The following is a 19,152-nucleotide window of genomic DNA, read 5'->3' as shown; positions in this document are numbered from 1 at the left end:
CCTGGCAGTCATTCCCAGAGCCTCTGGAACTCTGGCCCAAGGCTCTCTGACTCCTTCCCAGATCTTCTCGGCTTAGCAGCTGAAGACTGACACTGCCCGATCGCCTCGGAAGCCCCTTAGACCATCACGGATGCCGAGCTTCGGGTAACTCTTACAGTGGAAGGTAAGTCTGTCCCCTTCTTAATCAATACAGAGGCTACCCACTCCACATTACCTTCTTTTCAAGGGCCTGTTTCCCTTACCTTCATAACTGTTGTGGGTATTGACGGCCAGGCTTCTAAACCTCTTAAAACTCCCCAACTCTGGAGCCAACTTAGACAATACTCTTTTAAGCACTCTTTTTTAGTTATCCCCAGCTGCCCAGTTCCCTTATTAGACCGAGACACTTTAACTAAATTATCTGTTTCCCTGACTATTCCTGGGCTACAGCAACACCTCATTGCCGCCTTTTCCCCCAGTTCAAAGCCTCCTTCACATCCTCCCTTTGTATCTCCCCACCTTAACCCACAAGTATAAGACACCTCTACTCCCTCCTTAGCAACCGATCATGCACCCCTTACCATCCCATTAAAACCTAATCACTCTTACCCCGCTCAATGCCAATATCCCATCCCACGGCATGCTTTAAAAGGATTAAAGCCTATTATCACTCACCTGCTACAGCATGGCCTTTTAAAGCCTGTCAACTCCCCTTACAATTCCCCCATTTTACCTGTCCTAAAACCAGACGAGGCTTACAGGTTAGTTCAGGATCTGCGCCTTATCAACCAAATTGTTTTGCCTATCCACCCCATGGTGCCAAACCCATATACTCTCCTATCCTCAATACCTCCTTCCACAACCCATTATTCTGTTCTAGATCTCAAACATGCTTTCTTTACTATTCCCTTGCACCCTTCATCCCAGCCTCTCTTCGCTTTCACTTGGACTGACCCTGACACCCATCAGGCTCAGCAAATTACCTGGGCTGTACTGCCCAAGGCTTTACAGACGGCCCCCATTACTTCAATCAAGCCCAAATTTCTTCGTCATCTGTTACCTATCTCGGCATAATTCTCATAAAAACACATGTGCTCTCCCTGCTGATCGTGTCCAGCTAATCTCCCAAACCCCAATCCCTTCTACAAAACAACAACTCCTTTCCTTCCTAGGCATGGTTAGTAAGGTCAGAATTCTTACACAAGAGCTGGGACCATGCCCTGTAGCCTTTCTGTCCAAACAACTGGACCTTACTGTTTTAGCCTAGCCCTTATGTCTGCATGCAGCAGCTGCCGCTGCTTTAATACTTTTAAAGGCCCTAAAAATCACAAAGTATGCTCCACTCACTCTCTACAGTTCTCATAACTTTGAAAATCTATTTTCCTCATACCTGACGCATATACTTTCTGATCCCCAGCTGCTTCAGCTATACTCACTCTTTGTTGAGTCTCCCACAATTACCATTTTTTCCTGGCACGGACTTCAATCCGGCCTCCCACGTTATTCTAGATACCACACCTGACCCTCATGACTGTATCTCTCTGATCCACCTGACATTCACCCCATTTCCCCATATTTCCTTCTTTCGTGTTCCTCACCCTTATCACATTTGGTTTATTGATGGCAGTTCCACCAGGCCTAACCGCCACTCACCAGCAAAGGCAGGCTATGCTATAGTATCTTCCACATCTATCATTGAGGCTACTGCTCTGCCCCCCTCCACTACCTCTCAGCAAGCCGAACTAGTTGCCTTAACTCAAGCCCTCACTCTTGCAAAAGGACTATGCGTCAATATTTATACTGACTCTAAATATGCCTTTCATATCCTGCACCACCATGCAAGAGGTTTCCTCACTACACAAGGGTCCTCTATCATTAATCCCTCTTTAATGAAAATACTTCTCAAAGCTGCTTTACTTCCAGAGGAAGCTGGAGTCATTCACCACAAGGGCCATCGAAAGGCATCAGATTCCATTGCTCTAGGCAACACTTACGCTGATAAGGTGGCTAGACAAGAAGCTAGCATTCCAACTTCTGTCCCTCACCGCCAGTTTTTCTCCTTCATATCAGTCACTCCCACCTACTCCCCCGCTGAAACTTCCACCTATCAATCTCTTCCCACACAAGGCAAATGGTTCTTAGACCAAGGAAAGTATCTCCTAGCCTTAGAGGCCCATTGTATTCTGTTGTCATATCATAACCTCTTCCATGTAGGTTACAAGCCACTAGCCCCTCTCTTAGAACCTCTCATTTCCTTTCCATTATGGAAATCTATCCTTAAGGAAACCACTTCTTAGTGTTCCATCTGCTATTCTACTACCCCTCAGGGATTGTTCGGGCCTCCTCCCTTTCCTACACATCAAGCTCAGGGATTTGCCCCTGCCCAGGACTGGCAAATTGACTTTACTCACATGCCCCGAGTCAGAAAACTAAAATACTTCTTAGTCTGGGTAGACACTTTCACTGGATGGGTAGAGGCCTTCCCCACAGGGTCTGAGAAGGCCACCGCGGTCATTTCTTCCCTTCTGTCAGACATAATTCCTTAGTTTGGACTTCCCACCTCTATACAGTCCGATAGCAGACTGGACTTTATTAGTCAAATCAGCCAAGCATTTTTTCAGGCTCTTGGTATTCAGTGAAACCTTTATATCCCTTACGGTCCTCAGTCTTCAGGAAAGGTAGAATGGACTACTGGTCTTTTAAAAACACACCTCACCAAGCTCAGCCACCAACTTAAAAAGGACTGTACAATACTTTTACCACTTGCCCTTCTCAGAATTCAGGCCTGTCCTCGGAATGCTACAGGGTACAGCCCATTTGAGCTCCTGTATGGACACTCCTTTTTATTAGGCCCCAGTCTCATTCCAGACACCAGACTAACTTGGACTGTGCCCCAAAAAACTTGTCATCCCTACTATCTTCTGTCTAGTCATACTCCTATTCACCGTTCTCAACTACTCATACATGCCCTGCTCTTGTTTACACTGCCAGTTTACACTGTTTCTCCAAGCCAGCACAGCTGATATCTCCTGGTGCTATCCCCAAACTGCCACTCTTAACTCTTAAAGTAAATAAATAATCTTTGCTGGCAGGACTATGCTGAATCTCCTTAGGCACTCTCTAATTAGATGTCCTGGGTCCTCCCAATTCTTACACATTTAATACCTGTTTTTCTCCTTCTCTTATTCTGTTTAGTTTTTCAATTCATACAAAACTGTATCCAGGCCATCATCAATAATTCTAAATGACAGATGTTTCTTCTAACAACCCCACAATATCACCCCTTACCACAAAATCTTCCTTCAGCTTAATCTCTCCCACTCTAGGTTCCCATGCCACCCCTAATCCTGCTCAAAGCAGCCCTGAGAAACATCGCCCATTATCTCTCCATACCACCCCCAAACATTTTCACCGTCCCAACACTTTACCACTTTTTCATTTTATTTTTCTTATTAATATAAGAAGACAGGAATGTCAGGCCTCTGAGCCCAACCTAAGCCATCATATCCCCTGTGACCTGCACGTACACATCCAGATGGCCGGTTCCTGCCTTAACTGATGACATTCCACCACAAAACAAGTGAAAAGGGCCTGTTCTTACCTTAACTGATGACATTGTCTTGTGAAATTCCTTCTCCTGGCTCATCCTGGCTCAAAAGCTCCCCTACTGAGCACCTTGTGACCCCCACTCCTGCCCGCCAGAGAACAACCCCCCTTTGACTGTAATTTTCCTTTACCTACCCAAATCTTATAAAACGGCCCTACCCTTATCTCCCTTGGCTGACTCTCTTTTCGGACTCAGCCCGCCTGCACCCAGGTGAAATAAACAGCCTTGTTGCTCACACAAAGGCTGTTTGGTGGTCTCTTCACACGGACGCGAGTGAAAAAGTGTACCTATATAACAGAGGGACAAGTAATATTTCTGTTGGCTTGTGTTGATGCCAATTGACACACATGCTGTGAAGATCAAACATTTTGGTAGTGGTTGGGCCCTGCATTCTGCTAGTTCATTACCCCTTTCAATGATGGTACCTGTGGTGTGGAGTGGCAGCATTTGAACCACTGGATTGTCAGCCACTGCAATAATATATTCTTGAAATCACATGTCCAGTGGCAGTCCCCTGATTATCACTCCTTAATTAATTCTAAGTATTTTGGAAATATAATTTTATTAAAATGCCTCTCTGTTTAAAATGGCTAGAGTCGTTTCTATGTCCTACACTAAATCTAGACTGGTACAAATTCCTAGATTCTACCCTAGACTATGGAATCAGAAAATATGTAGATAGAAACCTTGTATCTGTGTTTTAACAAGCTCTTCATGTGATTTACGTATTTTCTAAAGTTTGAGAACCACTAACTTAGATAGTCCAGTTTTCTTTACTTTCTCTCCTATGGTATACATAAATGAGTACAGTTAGCATTACAGAAAAAGAGTGAATCTGTCAGAGAAAGACCAAGACATGACTTAGGCCTCTAAAATATGTTGACTTCTTACCATGTTTTAATAGCTTAATTCTTTTTTGTGCACATGCCCATCTGAGTTAAATTTAAAAAGCTCAAAAATTCCATTGTTAATGCTTTTGTTGTTTGACCTTAGAAGCTTTGAAAAATAATGCTGACAAAGTCATACTAGTTGTTTTTTTATAACAATATATATGATTTATCATTACATAGTTTTATTTTAATGTAATCCATATCTTACAGAACAAAACAGTAAATAATATATTTTATGGATTGAATTGCGCCCCTGCCAAAAGGATATGGTAAAATCCTAACCACTGGTACCTGTGAATGTGGCTTTCTTTGAAAATAAGGTCTTTGTAGATATATTCAAATTAATATAAGGTCACAGTTGATTAGGGTGAGCCCTAATCTAATATGACTGGTGTCCTTAAGGGAAGAGAAAACAGAGAGACTCCCATGGGAAGATGCAGAGACACAGACACAGAGGGAGGGCAGCCATATGAAGATGGGAGCAGATATGGGAATTGTGCTGCCACAATGTAAGGAATCCCTGGGGTTACAAGAGGCAGAAGGAGATGAGGAAAGATCCTTCTCTAGAGACTTTGGAGGGCACATGGCCCTGCTTGTACCTTGATTTTGGGCTCCTATCCTCCAGAACTATGAGACAATACATTTGTTTTCAGCCACTCAGTTTGTAGTACTTTATTATGGCAACCTGAGCAAACTAATGCAATATTCAATGATAAAAAAACAAACAAACAAAAGCAATTTTTTCATAGACGATAGCACATGTTTCAGTATCTGAATATCTTTAGTCACTAACATTTGTTTTTCTACCTTTCTCCCTTGAATTTCATGTAAAATTAACTACAGTTCTTTTCATTTCCTTTATATGTGGCTGAAGAATGTTTTCATTATCTTGTCTCCAGGAATGTAATAATCAAATATCAACTTCTCATAGTTGGTAAGGATTTCAAATTTATAAGGAGAATAATAGAAATAATTCTAGAGAGGCTATGAAATAATAAAATATAAGAACTTGAGTCATTGAAATTAAAATTAAAAGTGATGAAAGGAATATGAGTTGGTATCAATGTAGTTTTTCATATATTCTATATGTATAATTAATATGTGTTTTAAAAATAGGTATGTCTTATTAGAACTCACTTTTCTTTAAAAATGGAATACTTTAGACAGTGTCATTACAATTAATCTTTGTATTAAGTATTACACGTTTTTGCTCAATCAGTTGTGAATTGTGTTGAAAGCGATTTTCTTCTTTCTCAAAAAATAAATAATATAGTGAATAATTTGTATTTTAAACATATTTAAGTGGATTCAAGTTATTTCTTCAATAATGTCATCTTCAGTGATACTCAGATATTCTTTGTGAGTAAAGAAAGTGTTTTGTTATATTTAGCAAAACTGAAATTCATATGGGAGGGCCTTGAACCTGAGAGTCTGTGTATCACACAGCAGAGAAAAAATAGTTTGAGAGATGCAATATTTTTACAATATTTTTCTAAAAATATTATCTCTACTATTTAAATAATATTTTATGTAAATGTTAAATAACTTTGAATATTGTAGAACTTTCATGGTATGTAGTAATATATGCAATTCCATCAATTGTCATTGTTAAGAAATGTTGTATATTGATTTATTCACACTATAATTAACTTTGAGAAAAGCAGAAATGTAAAGTGATAACACTTTATTGTAAAAGAACTAAAAAAAAAAAAAAATGCCTATTGATGTCAGGCCTCTGAGCCCAAGCCTGTACGTATACATCTAGATGGCCTGAAGCAACTGAAGAATCACAAAAGAAGTGAAAATGACCAGTTCCTGCCTTAACTGATGACATTACCTTGTGAAATTCCTTCTCCTGGCTCAGAAGCTCCCCCAATGAGCACCTTGTGACCCCCCTCCCCCCACCCCTGCCTGCCAGAGAAAAACCCCCTTTGACTGTAATTTCCCACAACCTACGCAAATCCTATGAAATGGCCCCACCTCTATCTCCCTTTGCTGACTCTTTTCAGACTCAGCCTCCTGCACCCAGGTGATTGAAAATTTTCATTGATAGTGAGCCAAGATCTCACTACTGCACTCCAGCCTGGGCGACAGAGTGAGACTCCGTCTCCAAAAAAAAAAAAATTTTATTGCTCACACAAAGCCTGTTTGGTTGTCTCCTCACAGGGACACACATGACATTTGGTGCCAAAACCTGGACAGGAAGACTCCTTCAGGAGACTGGTACCCTGTCCTCGTCATCACTCCGTGAGGCAATCCACCTATGACCTTGGGTCCTCAGACCCACCAGCCCAAGGAACATCTCACCAATTTCATATCGGGTAAGCAGTCTTTTCACTTTCTTCTCCAGCCTCTCTTGCTACCCTTCAATCTCCCTGTCCTTCCAATTCCAGTTCTTTTTCCTCTCTAGTAGAGACAAAGGAGACACTTTGTATCCGTGGACCCAAAACTCCGGCGCCAGTCATGGACTCAGGAAGACAGTCTTCCCTTGGTGTTTAATCACTGCAGGGATGCCTGCCTGATTATTCACCCACACTCCACTGGTGTCTGATCACTGTGGGGACACCTGCCTTGGTCATTCACCCACATTCCCTTGGTGGCAATTCAATTGTGGGGATGCCTGCTTTGGCTGCTCACCCACATTGCAGCCCAGGGCTGCTCACCACTCCCCTTCTCTGTGTCTCTACCCTCTCTTTTCTCTGGGCTTGCCTCCTTCACTATGGGCAAACTTCCACCCTCCATTCCTCCTTCTTCTCCCTTAGCCTGTGTTCTCAAGAACTTAAAACCTCTTCAACTCACACCTGACCTAAAACCTAAACACCTTATTTTCTTCTGCAATGCCGCTTGACCCCAGTACAAACTCGACAATGGTTCCAAAAAGCCAGAAAACGGCACTTTCAATTTCTCCATCCTATAAGATCTGATAATTCTTGTTGTAAAATGGGCAAATGGTCTGAGTTGCCTGACGTCCAGGCATTCTTTTACACATTGGTCCCTCCCTATTCTCTGCTCCCAATGTGACTAGTCCCAAATCTTTCTTCTTTCTCTCCTGTCTGTTCCTTCAGTCTCCACCCCAAGCTCTGAGTCTTTTGAATCCTCCTTTTCTACGGACCCATCTGAGTTCTCCCCTCCTCCCCAGGCTACTCCTCGCCAGGCTGAGCCAGGTCCCAATTCTTCCTCAGCCTCCACTTCCCCACCCTATAATCCTTCTATCGCCTCCCCTCATCACACCCGGTCTGGCTTACAGTTTCGTTCCGCGATTAGCCCTCCCCCACCTGCCCAACAATTTCCTCTTAAAAATGTGGCTGGAGCTAAAGGCATAGTCAAGGTTAATGCTCCTTTTTCTTTATTCGAGTTATTTCTTCAATAATGTCATCTTCAATGACATTCAGATATTCTTTGAGAGTAAAGAAAGTATTTTGTTTAGCAAAACTGAAATTTGTATGAGAGGGCCTTGAACCTGAGAGTTTGTGTGTCACACAGCAGAGAAAAAATAGTTTGAGAGGTGCAATATTTTTACAATATTTTTCTAGAAATATTATCCATACTATTTAAATAATTTAAGTAATCATTAATAACTTTGAATATTATAGAACTTTCATGGTATGCAATAATATATGCAATTCCATCAATTGTCATTGTTAAGAAATGTTGTATATTGATTTATTCACACTATAATCAACTTTGAGAAAAGCAGAAACACAAAATGATAACACTTTACTGTAACAGAACTAAAAAAAAATGCCCATCGAGACATTTTTCAGCCTCTATATGACTTACCAAAACATTAGTGTATTTAGTTTTCTTTGTAACATCTAACTCTTTTAAAGCTTATTTTTAAAGTCAGAAATGTTTGCTTCAGGAATAATTTCTCTCCTTACTCTGTTTTCAGGCATTATATGTATTAGTCTCTCAAAACCTTGAAAAGAGAGGTATTCTGAAGAAATATGTCTTTTCTAATATATTCATATATAATTCATTTTCTCTCTTTTATATATCCAAATTTTTATTGGTATAGGTTTCTTTAATAGGGAGACTATACATATTTCCAAAAAGCCTTAAGAAATTAATAAAATTAAGGAGAAATTACTAACAAAATTTCAATTTTCTTTTAATTTTTTGAAACAATATTCTACGTTAAACCTACATAAAAGTGAATCATAGAGAATTGGCATAATTCATATTTTTATTTTGAAATCTTTTATTGAAAAATAGAAATTGTATATATTCAAGGCATATAATGTGAAGATTTGATATACATAGACGTTGTGAAATGATTGCCACAACCACATTAGTTAACACATCAACTTATGCTGTACATTAGCTTCCCCAGAATTTATTCGTCTTATATCTGAAAGTTTGTACCTTTTGGGAAACACCTCTCTATTTTCCCCATCCCTTAGCCCCTGACAAACGCTGTTCTTTCTATTCCTATGATTTCAAATTTTTTAGATTCTACATATATATGAGATCAAACAGTATTTGTCTGTCTGTGTCTGGTTCATGTCATTTAGCGTATTGCTTTCCTGGATCATACATATTGCCATAAATGAAGGATTTTTTTCTTTTTGTGGATGAATAATGTGCATTATATGTCCTCATTTTATTTATCCTTTCTGCCATCGATGGACGCTTAGGTTGTTTCCATATCTCGGCGATTGTGAAAAATGCTGCCAATGACCACAGGAGTGGAAATATGTGCAGATATATGAGACACTGGTTTATTTATTTTTGCCTATATAACCAGAATTGGGATTACATGGTAATTTTTTAATCTTTTTGAGGAGCTGCTACACTGCTTTTTACAATGGCTATACCAGTTTACATTTTTACCAACATTGTATAAGGGTTTTCTTTTCTCCACATCTTTTCTTACCTCTTGTCTTTCTAATAATAACCATCCTACACAGGTGTGAGATGATATCTTACTGTTTCAGCAATTATTTTTTTGGACATGAGACCAAAAGCACAGGCAAGAAAAGCAAAAATAAGGAAGTGGAACAACTCAAACTAAAAAACTTTTGCACAGCAAAGAAAACAGTAAAATTGAAAAAGCCACCTATGGAATGAGAGAAACTATTTACAAACGATGTATCTGCTAAGCGGTTAATAACCAAAATATAAAAGGAGTACTTATGACTCAATAGCAAAAACCAAATAACCCAATTAAAAACATGATCAAAAGACCAGAATAGACATTTTTCCAAAGAAAACATTTACATGGCCAACAGGTACATGAAAAGGTGCTCAATGTCATTTCTTCTTTAAATGTCTGATAGAATTTAACAATTAAGTCATCTGAGACTGGTGCTTTCCATTTTGGAAGATGGTTAATTATTGATACAATTTCTTTAATAGATATTCAAATAGTCTATTTCTTCTTGTATAAGTTTTATAGATTGTGTCTTTAAGGAATTGGTCCATTTTATCTATGTGGGAATACTATTGTTTATAATATTCCTTTATTATTTTAATGTCCATGGGATTAATTATGATACTCTCATTTCTAATATTCATAATTTATATTATTTCTCTTTTTTGTTTGTTATTTTGCTGGGAGATTTATCAATTTTGTTGGCCTTTTCAAAGAGTTGGCTTTCTGTTTCATCTATTTATTTCCTATTTTTTATTTCATTGGTTACTTCTCCAGTGAAAAATGATCAAGATACATGCAGATGAGGTAGTGAGTTAGTGGAAGAGAAAATTATTAAAGGGAAATGATAAGATTGATTTTCTAGTTTAACAAATGAAATCCTATTTATAACTTCTCCTTGCTTTCTAAGAAGAGTAGATACTGTTAATTGGAGAGAGTTTCCAGAGCAATATGATTGGTGTGGGGATGTAAGTACTAGATAGGAGCTGGGGAACAACTCTTTGTAATAAGTAGAGAGAAATTCAAAGTCCCTCCAACAAAATGCAACATAAAAAGGAGACTGGAGAAAGCAAGGCCAGGCCACATGCTACATGAGCAATTTGAAGGAAGTTAGAATCCTTGGTGGCAGCATGGCTACAAAGAAATTTGGAGAAAAAAATTTTTAAAAGGATTTGGAGCCTGCTTTGGGCTGTTGGAATATTCTATTTCACACAAAGTTATCAATAAATTACACAGTTTACTAATGTTTAAGATAGGGAACATGCCGTTGAGTTGTTCATTTGTGCTATAAAACAATTTTTAAAAACAGTACTATATTTTAGTCAATGATATATTTATTGTAAGAAGTGTTTAGATGTAGAGTTCCACTTTATGCAACATTGGACTAAGTAATGTATACAAACCATCCACATTTAGTTTGATTAATCCACATTTGGATTATAGCTTATTGTTTCATTGTTCTATGGGACTCTGATATTTACCCATTTTAATAAATAAATGTGTTTTTCAAGCAAGACAAAACAAACATCTAACAATAAATTTAAGATTCATGAGAGGCTTTATCTTTTCATATGCATTACAAAATACATTTATTGTGATTTTAAGACACCTGGATACATGCATCTTCAGCTTACAAGATTTAAAATGCAGCTGAAAAGCAACCAAATAATTTTTTCTGAAATCAGGTATTTTTTTACATGAGAAATATTGGACATATCTAGACCACATTCCTCATATTCCACTCCATTTATCTACTGACATTACCCTTCCTACTAGAATCTTCCATTTTCTGAGGAACTTAATATTGTTGAGGCAGATACTGTGGTTAGGTTTCCCAAAGCCATTTATAACTCCTTTCTCTTATCTTCCTTTATACTTCTGACTGAGAAGGCAAATTATTTGACCTCTCAGTGTCCATCATAGCTACAGATGGCCATATGACATAGTTTTGGCCAATGCTGTGTAGATACAAATTCTAAAAGAGGCTTTTATTCTCAAATAAAAAGACAAAGTTCCACAAGGATAAGGTCTCTTGTACTTTCCTTCCTAGTTTTGGCCAACAATATAAATATATCTAGAGGAGCAGCAGTTGTCTGGTGACCTAAATGTTTTGATGACAACAGGCTAAAAATTGTGGCTAGTCAACTGTAAACCAACAGCAAGAATAATTTATCTGTGAAATTATGTAATCTTGGATCTCTATGATGATATTCAATATTTAGTGGCTAAGTCAAAACCTTAACATCTGGTAAGTGCAAAAATTATTATAACCCTAATATCAAGGAAGGTACTATGCTGCCATTCTATATTAAAACAAAATTAATTTTAGCTTTGGAATAATTTTCCTTTAAGCTCAACCCTTTCTAATTCTAAGGCTTCTGTGGTTAATAACTCTGCCATTTTACTAGACAGGCCTCAAAAAGGCCAGTTATATCCTAGACTATGGTGAAATGGGTGAACTCTACAAACACTGAGTTCTCACAGTTGAATCTACAAGGGACCATCAGTTAACTTAAGGGCAGTCAGTCCACTGGTTGGCCACCTATCCATGGCAACCGAGACAAGAAATAGCAATTTTCCTTCTTAGACATTTAACTAGTTTGATGAAAATGAAAACAAGTTAGCAATGAGAATGTAAGCTAAGAAGAAGTCATAGGTAGAAAGTCAGGACTATAAGGGATTACAACAAATCATAATTTCTAAAAAGCTGAAATTCTGCTTCAGTGGAAAAATTAATAGTAGAGGTTGAGATATCCTATCATAAATTTACCCAAAGAAGGACTACAAATTTAGCTGAGCCTCATCAATGGTGGAGCATGGAGTGAAAATTTTAGAGTCAGTATTTCCATAGATTCCAGTTTTATTCAGGTTTCATATTTCTCTCAGTTCATGTTGTTCAGCTTTGATTGTTCAGTATTTTATAAATTTGCATGTCCATACGTGTAATTTAAGATTCTTTTGGTTACAAATGACTTATGTAAAAATATGAATTTATCGTGGTACACTTAGGCCTATTATATATTCCATTCCATCAAAGAGTTGGGCCACCAGACAGGGGAAAAGCAAAATTTTATAAAACTTTCCTTAATATGCTAACATTAATATAACACAGGTCCTGCAAAACCAGTCTATCATTTAGTTTAAAATTATTTATTCATAGGAAAAAATATTTGATTAGTCTACCTTTTTTAGGTGTACCATTGATGATTCCTTGGGAAGAACAAAGATGTGGGGAGTGACACCCATGTTAAAAGAGGGTAGTTTTTGGAGTAGATGGACTGGAAAGAGAATTTAGTATGTATGCACCACAATGTTGATTCTTACAACTTCTAAATTATTTGAGATACGTTGACAAGTTTTTTTGTTATTTGCAAATAAAAGAGTCAAACTACCCTCAGCATTAAATTTGAGGCATTTACACATGGTGGCAATAATACATCTTCATATTTTTCAAGGAGTTATGAAATCCAGAGGCTCTCCAACCTGTAGTCTCAACTGCCCAATCAGATTTCCAACTTGAAGATTCCAAGAATTCCAGAGCATGTTATGAGTGGCTGAATATCTGGTCCCAAGTGAGGTAGCTGCATGCTAGGCTAGTATGTTTAGATAATTTTTCTATGAACTTTGTTAAGCTAATTTTATTTGTAAATAACCAAGCAAAAATCATAGCTTTTTCCTTAGAATGACAGAACGAGAGAATTATCTACACATTTCCTTATAGCTCTAATCATCATTTAATTCCTAACCCTTAATTCCTTGAGCAAATTCATGCAAAATCCCCATTCTATTTAGTTGGTCTCAATACCTGCATTTTCGAAAATCTTACCAGGCTTGTTCTTGAGTATTTAATGGAATGATCTGCTCTAGGTCTGTATGTACTAAGAAGTCTAGATATTTCTCAGATGCAAACACAGCTACTTCCTCGGCTTATTGGGAAGGCATCTTATGTGATCTGTAAATAAAATTCAAAACGTATTAGAATGATTAAAGGAGTTTTCTTTAAGTAACCGAAGAAAATAAGTTTAAGTAAAGTGCACTTTGCCTCATAACAATGTTAGTAATATTTTATACCTTGTTATCTCATTAGTATGTCTTATCAATGCTTTAAACTATTAATTCTTTGTTGAGAGGTATGTAAGCAGAAAGTGAAATTTTGTAAACCCTAGAAGAAAAATTCCAAAGCTCAAACATATGTATAAAAGGAAAATTTATTTTGCTTTTAACATTTGTTATATTTTAGAATGCCAAATGCTGATTCGGTTAGTCATTAAAAGCCAGAAAGCTTGGCACGTGGCTCACGCCTGTAATCCCAGCCCTTAGGGAGGCTGAGGGGGGCAGATCACAAGGTCAGGAGTTTGATAGCAGCCTGGCCAACATGGCAAAACCCCGTCTCTACTAAAAGCATACAGAATTAGCTGGGCATACTGGCAGGTGCCTGTGATCCCAGCTACTTGGGAGGCTGAGGCAGGAGAATCATTTGAACCCAGGAGGCGGAGGTTAGTGAGCCGAGATCTCGCCATTGCACTCCAGTCTGGGCAACAGGACGAGACTCCATCTCAAAAAAAAAAGTCAGAAAAAGTGTGTTCTGGAGTTAGCAGATCTGGGAATGACTATGCAAATACAAAGACATTCCAAAAGAGATATAAGCCAGGGGTTGCATTCAACTGAGTCAACCTTTTCGACATGATTTTATTGAAAGATGACTCAACTAGTTATTGCTAAGACAATAACATGGACAGTTTCCCATGAAGATTGGTGTGATACTGTTTGGAATAGAGACACATTAACTAACTTTTCATTAGTATAAAGAGAAAAACAAAATGCAGCAAATGTTCTGGTAAGAGGAATTTTATTTCTGGAATATTAATTAAATAGCAGAGTAATGATTAGAATGAAGGGACAACTGATAAAGTAGTTCAAAATAATCCCTTCATTATGGCAGTTTACTTTAGAATAATACGTTGGGTATACAGCTTTATGGAAACAAAATAAACAGTTCTCGATAACATAAAATTATGACATTAATTCACTGTAAAGGCCTCTTGTAGCTTGGAAGTTTATAAGAAAGTTAAACAGTTTTCAGTAGTGCAGGTTTGTGTAGATAATTTAATAAAGTAGAAATAATCTTAAGAAAAATGCTTTATGTATTTATTACAAACTAAATTAATTAATGAAAATCTTTCCTTTAGAACATTTCTGTTGACCAATATTTTATCTACCACATTTTGGAACTTGCTCTCCTGTATGTATTAATAATAAATCCACTGTATGAAGCCCTGATTCCAAGTGTGGCAATATATGAGTTCCCTAATATAAAGGCAAAGCTGGGATTATATTAAATTTCGTTTTTGAAGTTATTGTTATAAGACAGAATGAAACTTTTGTAATATTTATTTTTCTCATTTAGTCATTTAGAAATAAGAATTTATAGAGTTTTAATTTTGTAATAGATCCAAATTCTTGATTATAATTAATTTTCAGCAATAAGATTCACTTCTATTTGAAGTGATTAAAATAAAAGCTTCTTTATTAAGATTACAAACCTTAATAGATTCAAGTACTAGATATGTTTATTTGGATTTGTTTCTAAGGAATTAAATGTCACTGAGAGAACAAAGGTTTTTTTGTTGTTGTTGTTGTTGTTTTGTTTTTTACATACTTGCCACAGTTGAGCAGAACCCGCTAAATGAACTCCATTACCAATGTTACTAATGTTATTTTGGGTACTGATTTTAGGTGATTATAAAATAAAACAGTTTAGAGAATGTTTACACTATTATTTCCTTTACATAATTCATCTTATTCAAATTGATAATTGTCCTTTCTAACAAGAAATTAAATTGTGCAGATATTATTGTTAGAAATATTGGTATCGTTACTTACCTATCCACAATATCAAACATCAAAAAATAATAAAACCGAGCACAAAAAAGGCATACACATTGAAAAGAGAGAAATACAGCCATCTTTATGTATAGATGAATAATTGTCTATGCAAATAATCCTAATAAATCTACAAAAAGAAAACACAAACAAATACCAACCTCCTTGAACTAATAAGTGAGTTAAGCAAGGGTGCATGTTACCAGATCAACATACAAAGTCAATCCACTCCTATATACTGGTTATGAGTATGTGTGAAACATTTACGATTGCTCCACTGAAAATGAAAACTTAGTTACAAATCTAATAAAATATGTAAAGAATCCTCATGCTAAAATTTTAAAATGATAATGATAGAAAATTTAAAAAATCTAAATAAACGACATAATAAGAGACATCCTATATTCATGGATTGGAACATATTAAATGTGTCACTTCACCGAAAATTGGTCTGTAGGCTTAATGCAGTCCTTATTAAAATCCTAGTGAGTTTTATTTAGACATAGACATAGACAAAAGCATTATAAAATTTATATGGAAAAGCAAAGAAACTAGAGTAGTTAAAAACAGTTTTGAAAAAGGTTAATAAAGTGGGAGGAATCATTGTATCTGCTACAATTGAATATTACTCAGCAAAAGAACAAACTATTGATCACCATGACACCTTTGATGGATCTCAAAGGAATTATGCGGAGTGAAAAGAGCCAGTCTCAAAAGTAACATGCTGTAAAATTACATTTACATAGTATTCCTGAAATGCCAATATTATAGAAATGGAAAATAGACCAGTGCTTGACAGAGGTCAGGATCAGGAGAGGAAGAAGGTGGCTGTGGCTATAACAGTGTAACCTGAGGGAGCTCTCTGATGGTGTTGCATGTGATGGTGTTGGACACAAATATACACATGCAAACAATTACATAGAACTAAATATATATGTGCCCAGAAATGATTGAATATAAAACAAGTGGAATCTATTCAGTGGGTTTTAGTAATGTTAATTTCCTGCTTGTGATACGATAATATAGTTATGCAAGATGTTGCCACTGGGGAACACTGCATGAAGGCTATGGAGTATGCTCATGCTCTGTATTATTTCTTATAACTACATATAAACCTACAATTCTCTGAAAAGAAAAAGTTTTTAAAAAGAGACCAGGTGCAGTGGCTCACACCTGTAATTTCAGCACTTTGGGAGGCCGGGGCGGGTGGATCATGAGGTCAGGAGTTTGAGAACAGCTGACCAACATGGTGAAACCCCGTCTCTACTAAAAATACAAGAATTAGCCAGGCGTGGTGGCGCACACCTGTAATCCCAGCTACTCAGGAGGCTGAGGCAGGAGAATCCCTTGAACCCGGGAGGCGGAGGTTGTAGTGGGCTGAGATCGCACCATTGCGCTCCAGCCTGGGCGACAGAGCAAGACTCCGTCTCAAAAAAAAAAAAAAAAAAAGTAAGAAAAAGTAAGAAAACATTGTTAATGAAATGTATTTTGTAAAATATGAGGTCCAGCATGGATGCTATTTTTTGCCTTTAATATTTTAGTTAAAAGGTCCTGGGCCGGGCGCGGTGGCTCACACCTGTAATCCCAGCACTTTGGGAGGCAGAGGCAGGCAGATCACGAGGTCAGGAGATCGAGACCATCCTGGCTAACACAGTGAAACCCATTCTCTACTAAAAATACAAAAAATTAGCCAGGCGTGGTGGCACTCACCTGTAGTCCCAGCTACTTGGGAGGCTGAGGCAGGAGAATGGCGTGAACCTGGGAGGCGGAGCTTGCAGTGAGCCGAGATGGCGCCACTGCACTACAGCCTGGACAAAAGAGCGAGACTCCGTCTCAAAAAAAAAAAAAAGTCCTCTAAGAGCAGATGATATTGGAAAAGGATTTTTAATAGGGCAAATTCTATTATAGCAATGTTAAACTCCATCTATTTCTAGAATGAACTATGCGATATCCTCATTTATTATTAAGATTAGATTATCTCTGGCGATCACTTAACTATGTTTTCATGAGTATGCTGTAGCCTTTCTGATAAATCTGACCAAACCTAAGTATTTTATCCATTGCTCCTTAAAGTGGGTGATCTCCACAGGTAGTTTATTATGTTTGATTGTTATTATAATAGATTTCATTCTTTATCCTGTTAAAGTTTTAGGTACCTCACTTGCCCCCAGGTACTTTGATAGAAATGGATTTCATGACAGTCATATATGTATTATGGTTATGTTCTCATTTCATTAGTATTTGTTCTATACATGTGATACAGATTTCCCCCACTGTAAAACAACGGAGTAAGAATAGGTATTGTGTACTTTCTTTTTACTCTTTGGTGAAATTTAAATTGGTCTAAAGGAATGCCCACATTATTTAATTTGAAAAATTTTACATGTTCAAATATCCCTTAAAATAGAAAGTTATTTAAGCTTACAAGGTTAAAATAGGTATTTATTTTTCCAGTTGCAAAATTATATTTAGAAAATAGTAAAGAAAAATCACTCTTAAGCCACTCATTCAGAAAAAAACTGCTGTTCACCAGCATGGCACATGTATACATATGTAACTAACCTGCACAATGTGCACATGTACCCTAAAACTTAAAGTATAATTAATTTAAAAAAAAACAAAAAAAAAAACAGAAAGAGAAATTCCAGAGCACAAAAAAAAAACACAAAAAAACATTCTAAAGATTACCTTAATATATTTTACAATACTTACATAGTGTATGTTAAGTGTATGTTTTATGCCATGTGTTTTATGCACCATGTATGTGTCTTATGCATATGTGTTTTATATATACACATGTATATATGTGTTTTATATGTGTGTTTTATATATACACTTTATATATATACATATATCTATGTATGAGATTTTAAAAATATAAATATATATATACAGTAGAGACAAAGTGTACAGACATTATACTTGAAAATTTAGCCCTGCCTTAAATAATTAATAATATACTATTGTTTATAACATAAACAATATGTTATAAACAATAGTATATTATTAAATATTTTATGATTTTGATAAATAGATCAGTATAAAATGATTTTTAGGGGTGTAATTAATATGAAAATAGCATGTATCTAACTAAAATAATTAGAAATTTACATGGTGCCCAAGTGTTTGCTACTTTAAAGAATATTCTAAGGCATACCATTGTTTATGTATTCATTATACAGATTTATAAGTGAAAATATTTATTTGGAAGATTGTTTTGAATTGATGCATTTTCTTATGCTTTATAAATACTCTAATATTAGGCTGGGCATGGTGGCTCACGCCTCTAATCCCAGCAATTTGGGAGGCTGAGGGGGTGGGTCATTTGAGGTCAGGAGTTTGAGACCAGCCTGACCAACATGGTGAAACCCCGTCTCTATTAAAAATACAAAAATTAGCTGGGCGTGGTGGCGCATGCTTATAATCCCAGCTACATGGAAGGCTGAGGTAGGAGAATCGCTTGAACCTGGGAGATGGAGGTTGCAGTGAACCAAGATTCCACCACTGCACTCCAGCCTGGGCAACAGAGTGAGACTCCATCTCCAAAAACAGAAAACAAACAAACAAAACCCCCCAAATACTCTAATATTAAAACATTTCAAAATCTTTATGTTAGAGAATTAATACATCTGATTATAAATATATTAAAGTCACTTTTCTTTGTGCCAAATATCTTGCACAGGCCATGGCAAAGTCATGAGATGATAGTGAATAAATGAATAAATGAATGAATGAAGCACTCCTGTCTACCTCATTGAGTTCTATACTTTCAGATGGCTAGCCCTTATCTTTAGGCCTCAATTTCCTAACACATTTACACCAGCTCTCCAGTCCATCATTTAAGTTAGCTTTGCCTCTAGTATTTAGTTTCTTCTTTACTAGTGGTTTTCTACCCCACTTGTATATGGCTTCTGTTATTG

The 19,152-nt window shown here is 36.8% G+C and overlaps 1 long non-coding RNA gene across 1 annotated transcript in view; it reads left to right on the top strand.

The window, feature by feature from the left end:
* LINC01090 (long intergenic non-protein coding RNA 1090) overlaps window positions 1–19,152 on the top strand; it is a 252,096-nt gene that overhangs the window by 115,141 nt on the left and 117,803 nt on the right. Inside the window, exon 2 of the long non-coding RNA NR_126396.1 lies at window positions 6,643–6,797. This is a non-coding gene — a long non-coding RNA (long intergenic non-protein coding RNA 1090). The remainder of the gene's footprint in view (window positions 1–6,642; window positions 6,798–19,152) is intronic.

The sequence above is a fragment of the Homo sapiens genome, chromosome 2 (assembly GCF_000001405.40).
Source record: "Homo sapiens chromosome 2, GRCh38.p14 Primary Assembly".
NCBI classification, from domain to species: Eukaryota; Metazoa; Chordata; class Mammalia; order Primates; family Hominidae; genus Homo; species Homo sapiens.
Note: the sequence above shows the minus strand (reverse complement) of the source record. Positions and strands in the feature narration are given on the sequence as shown.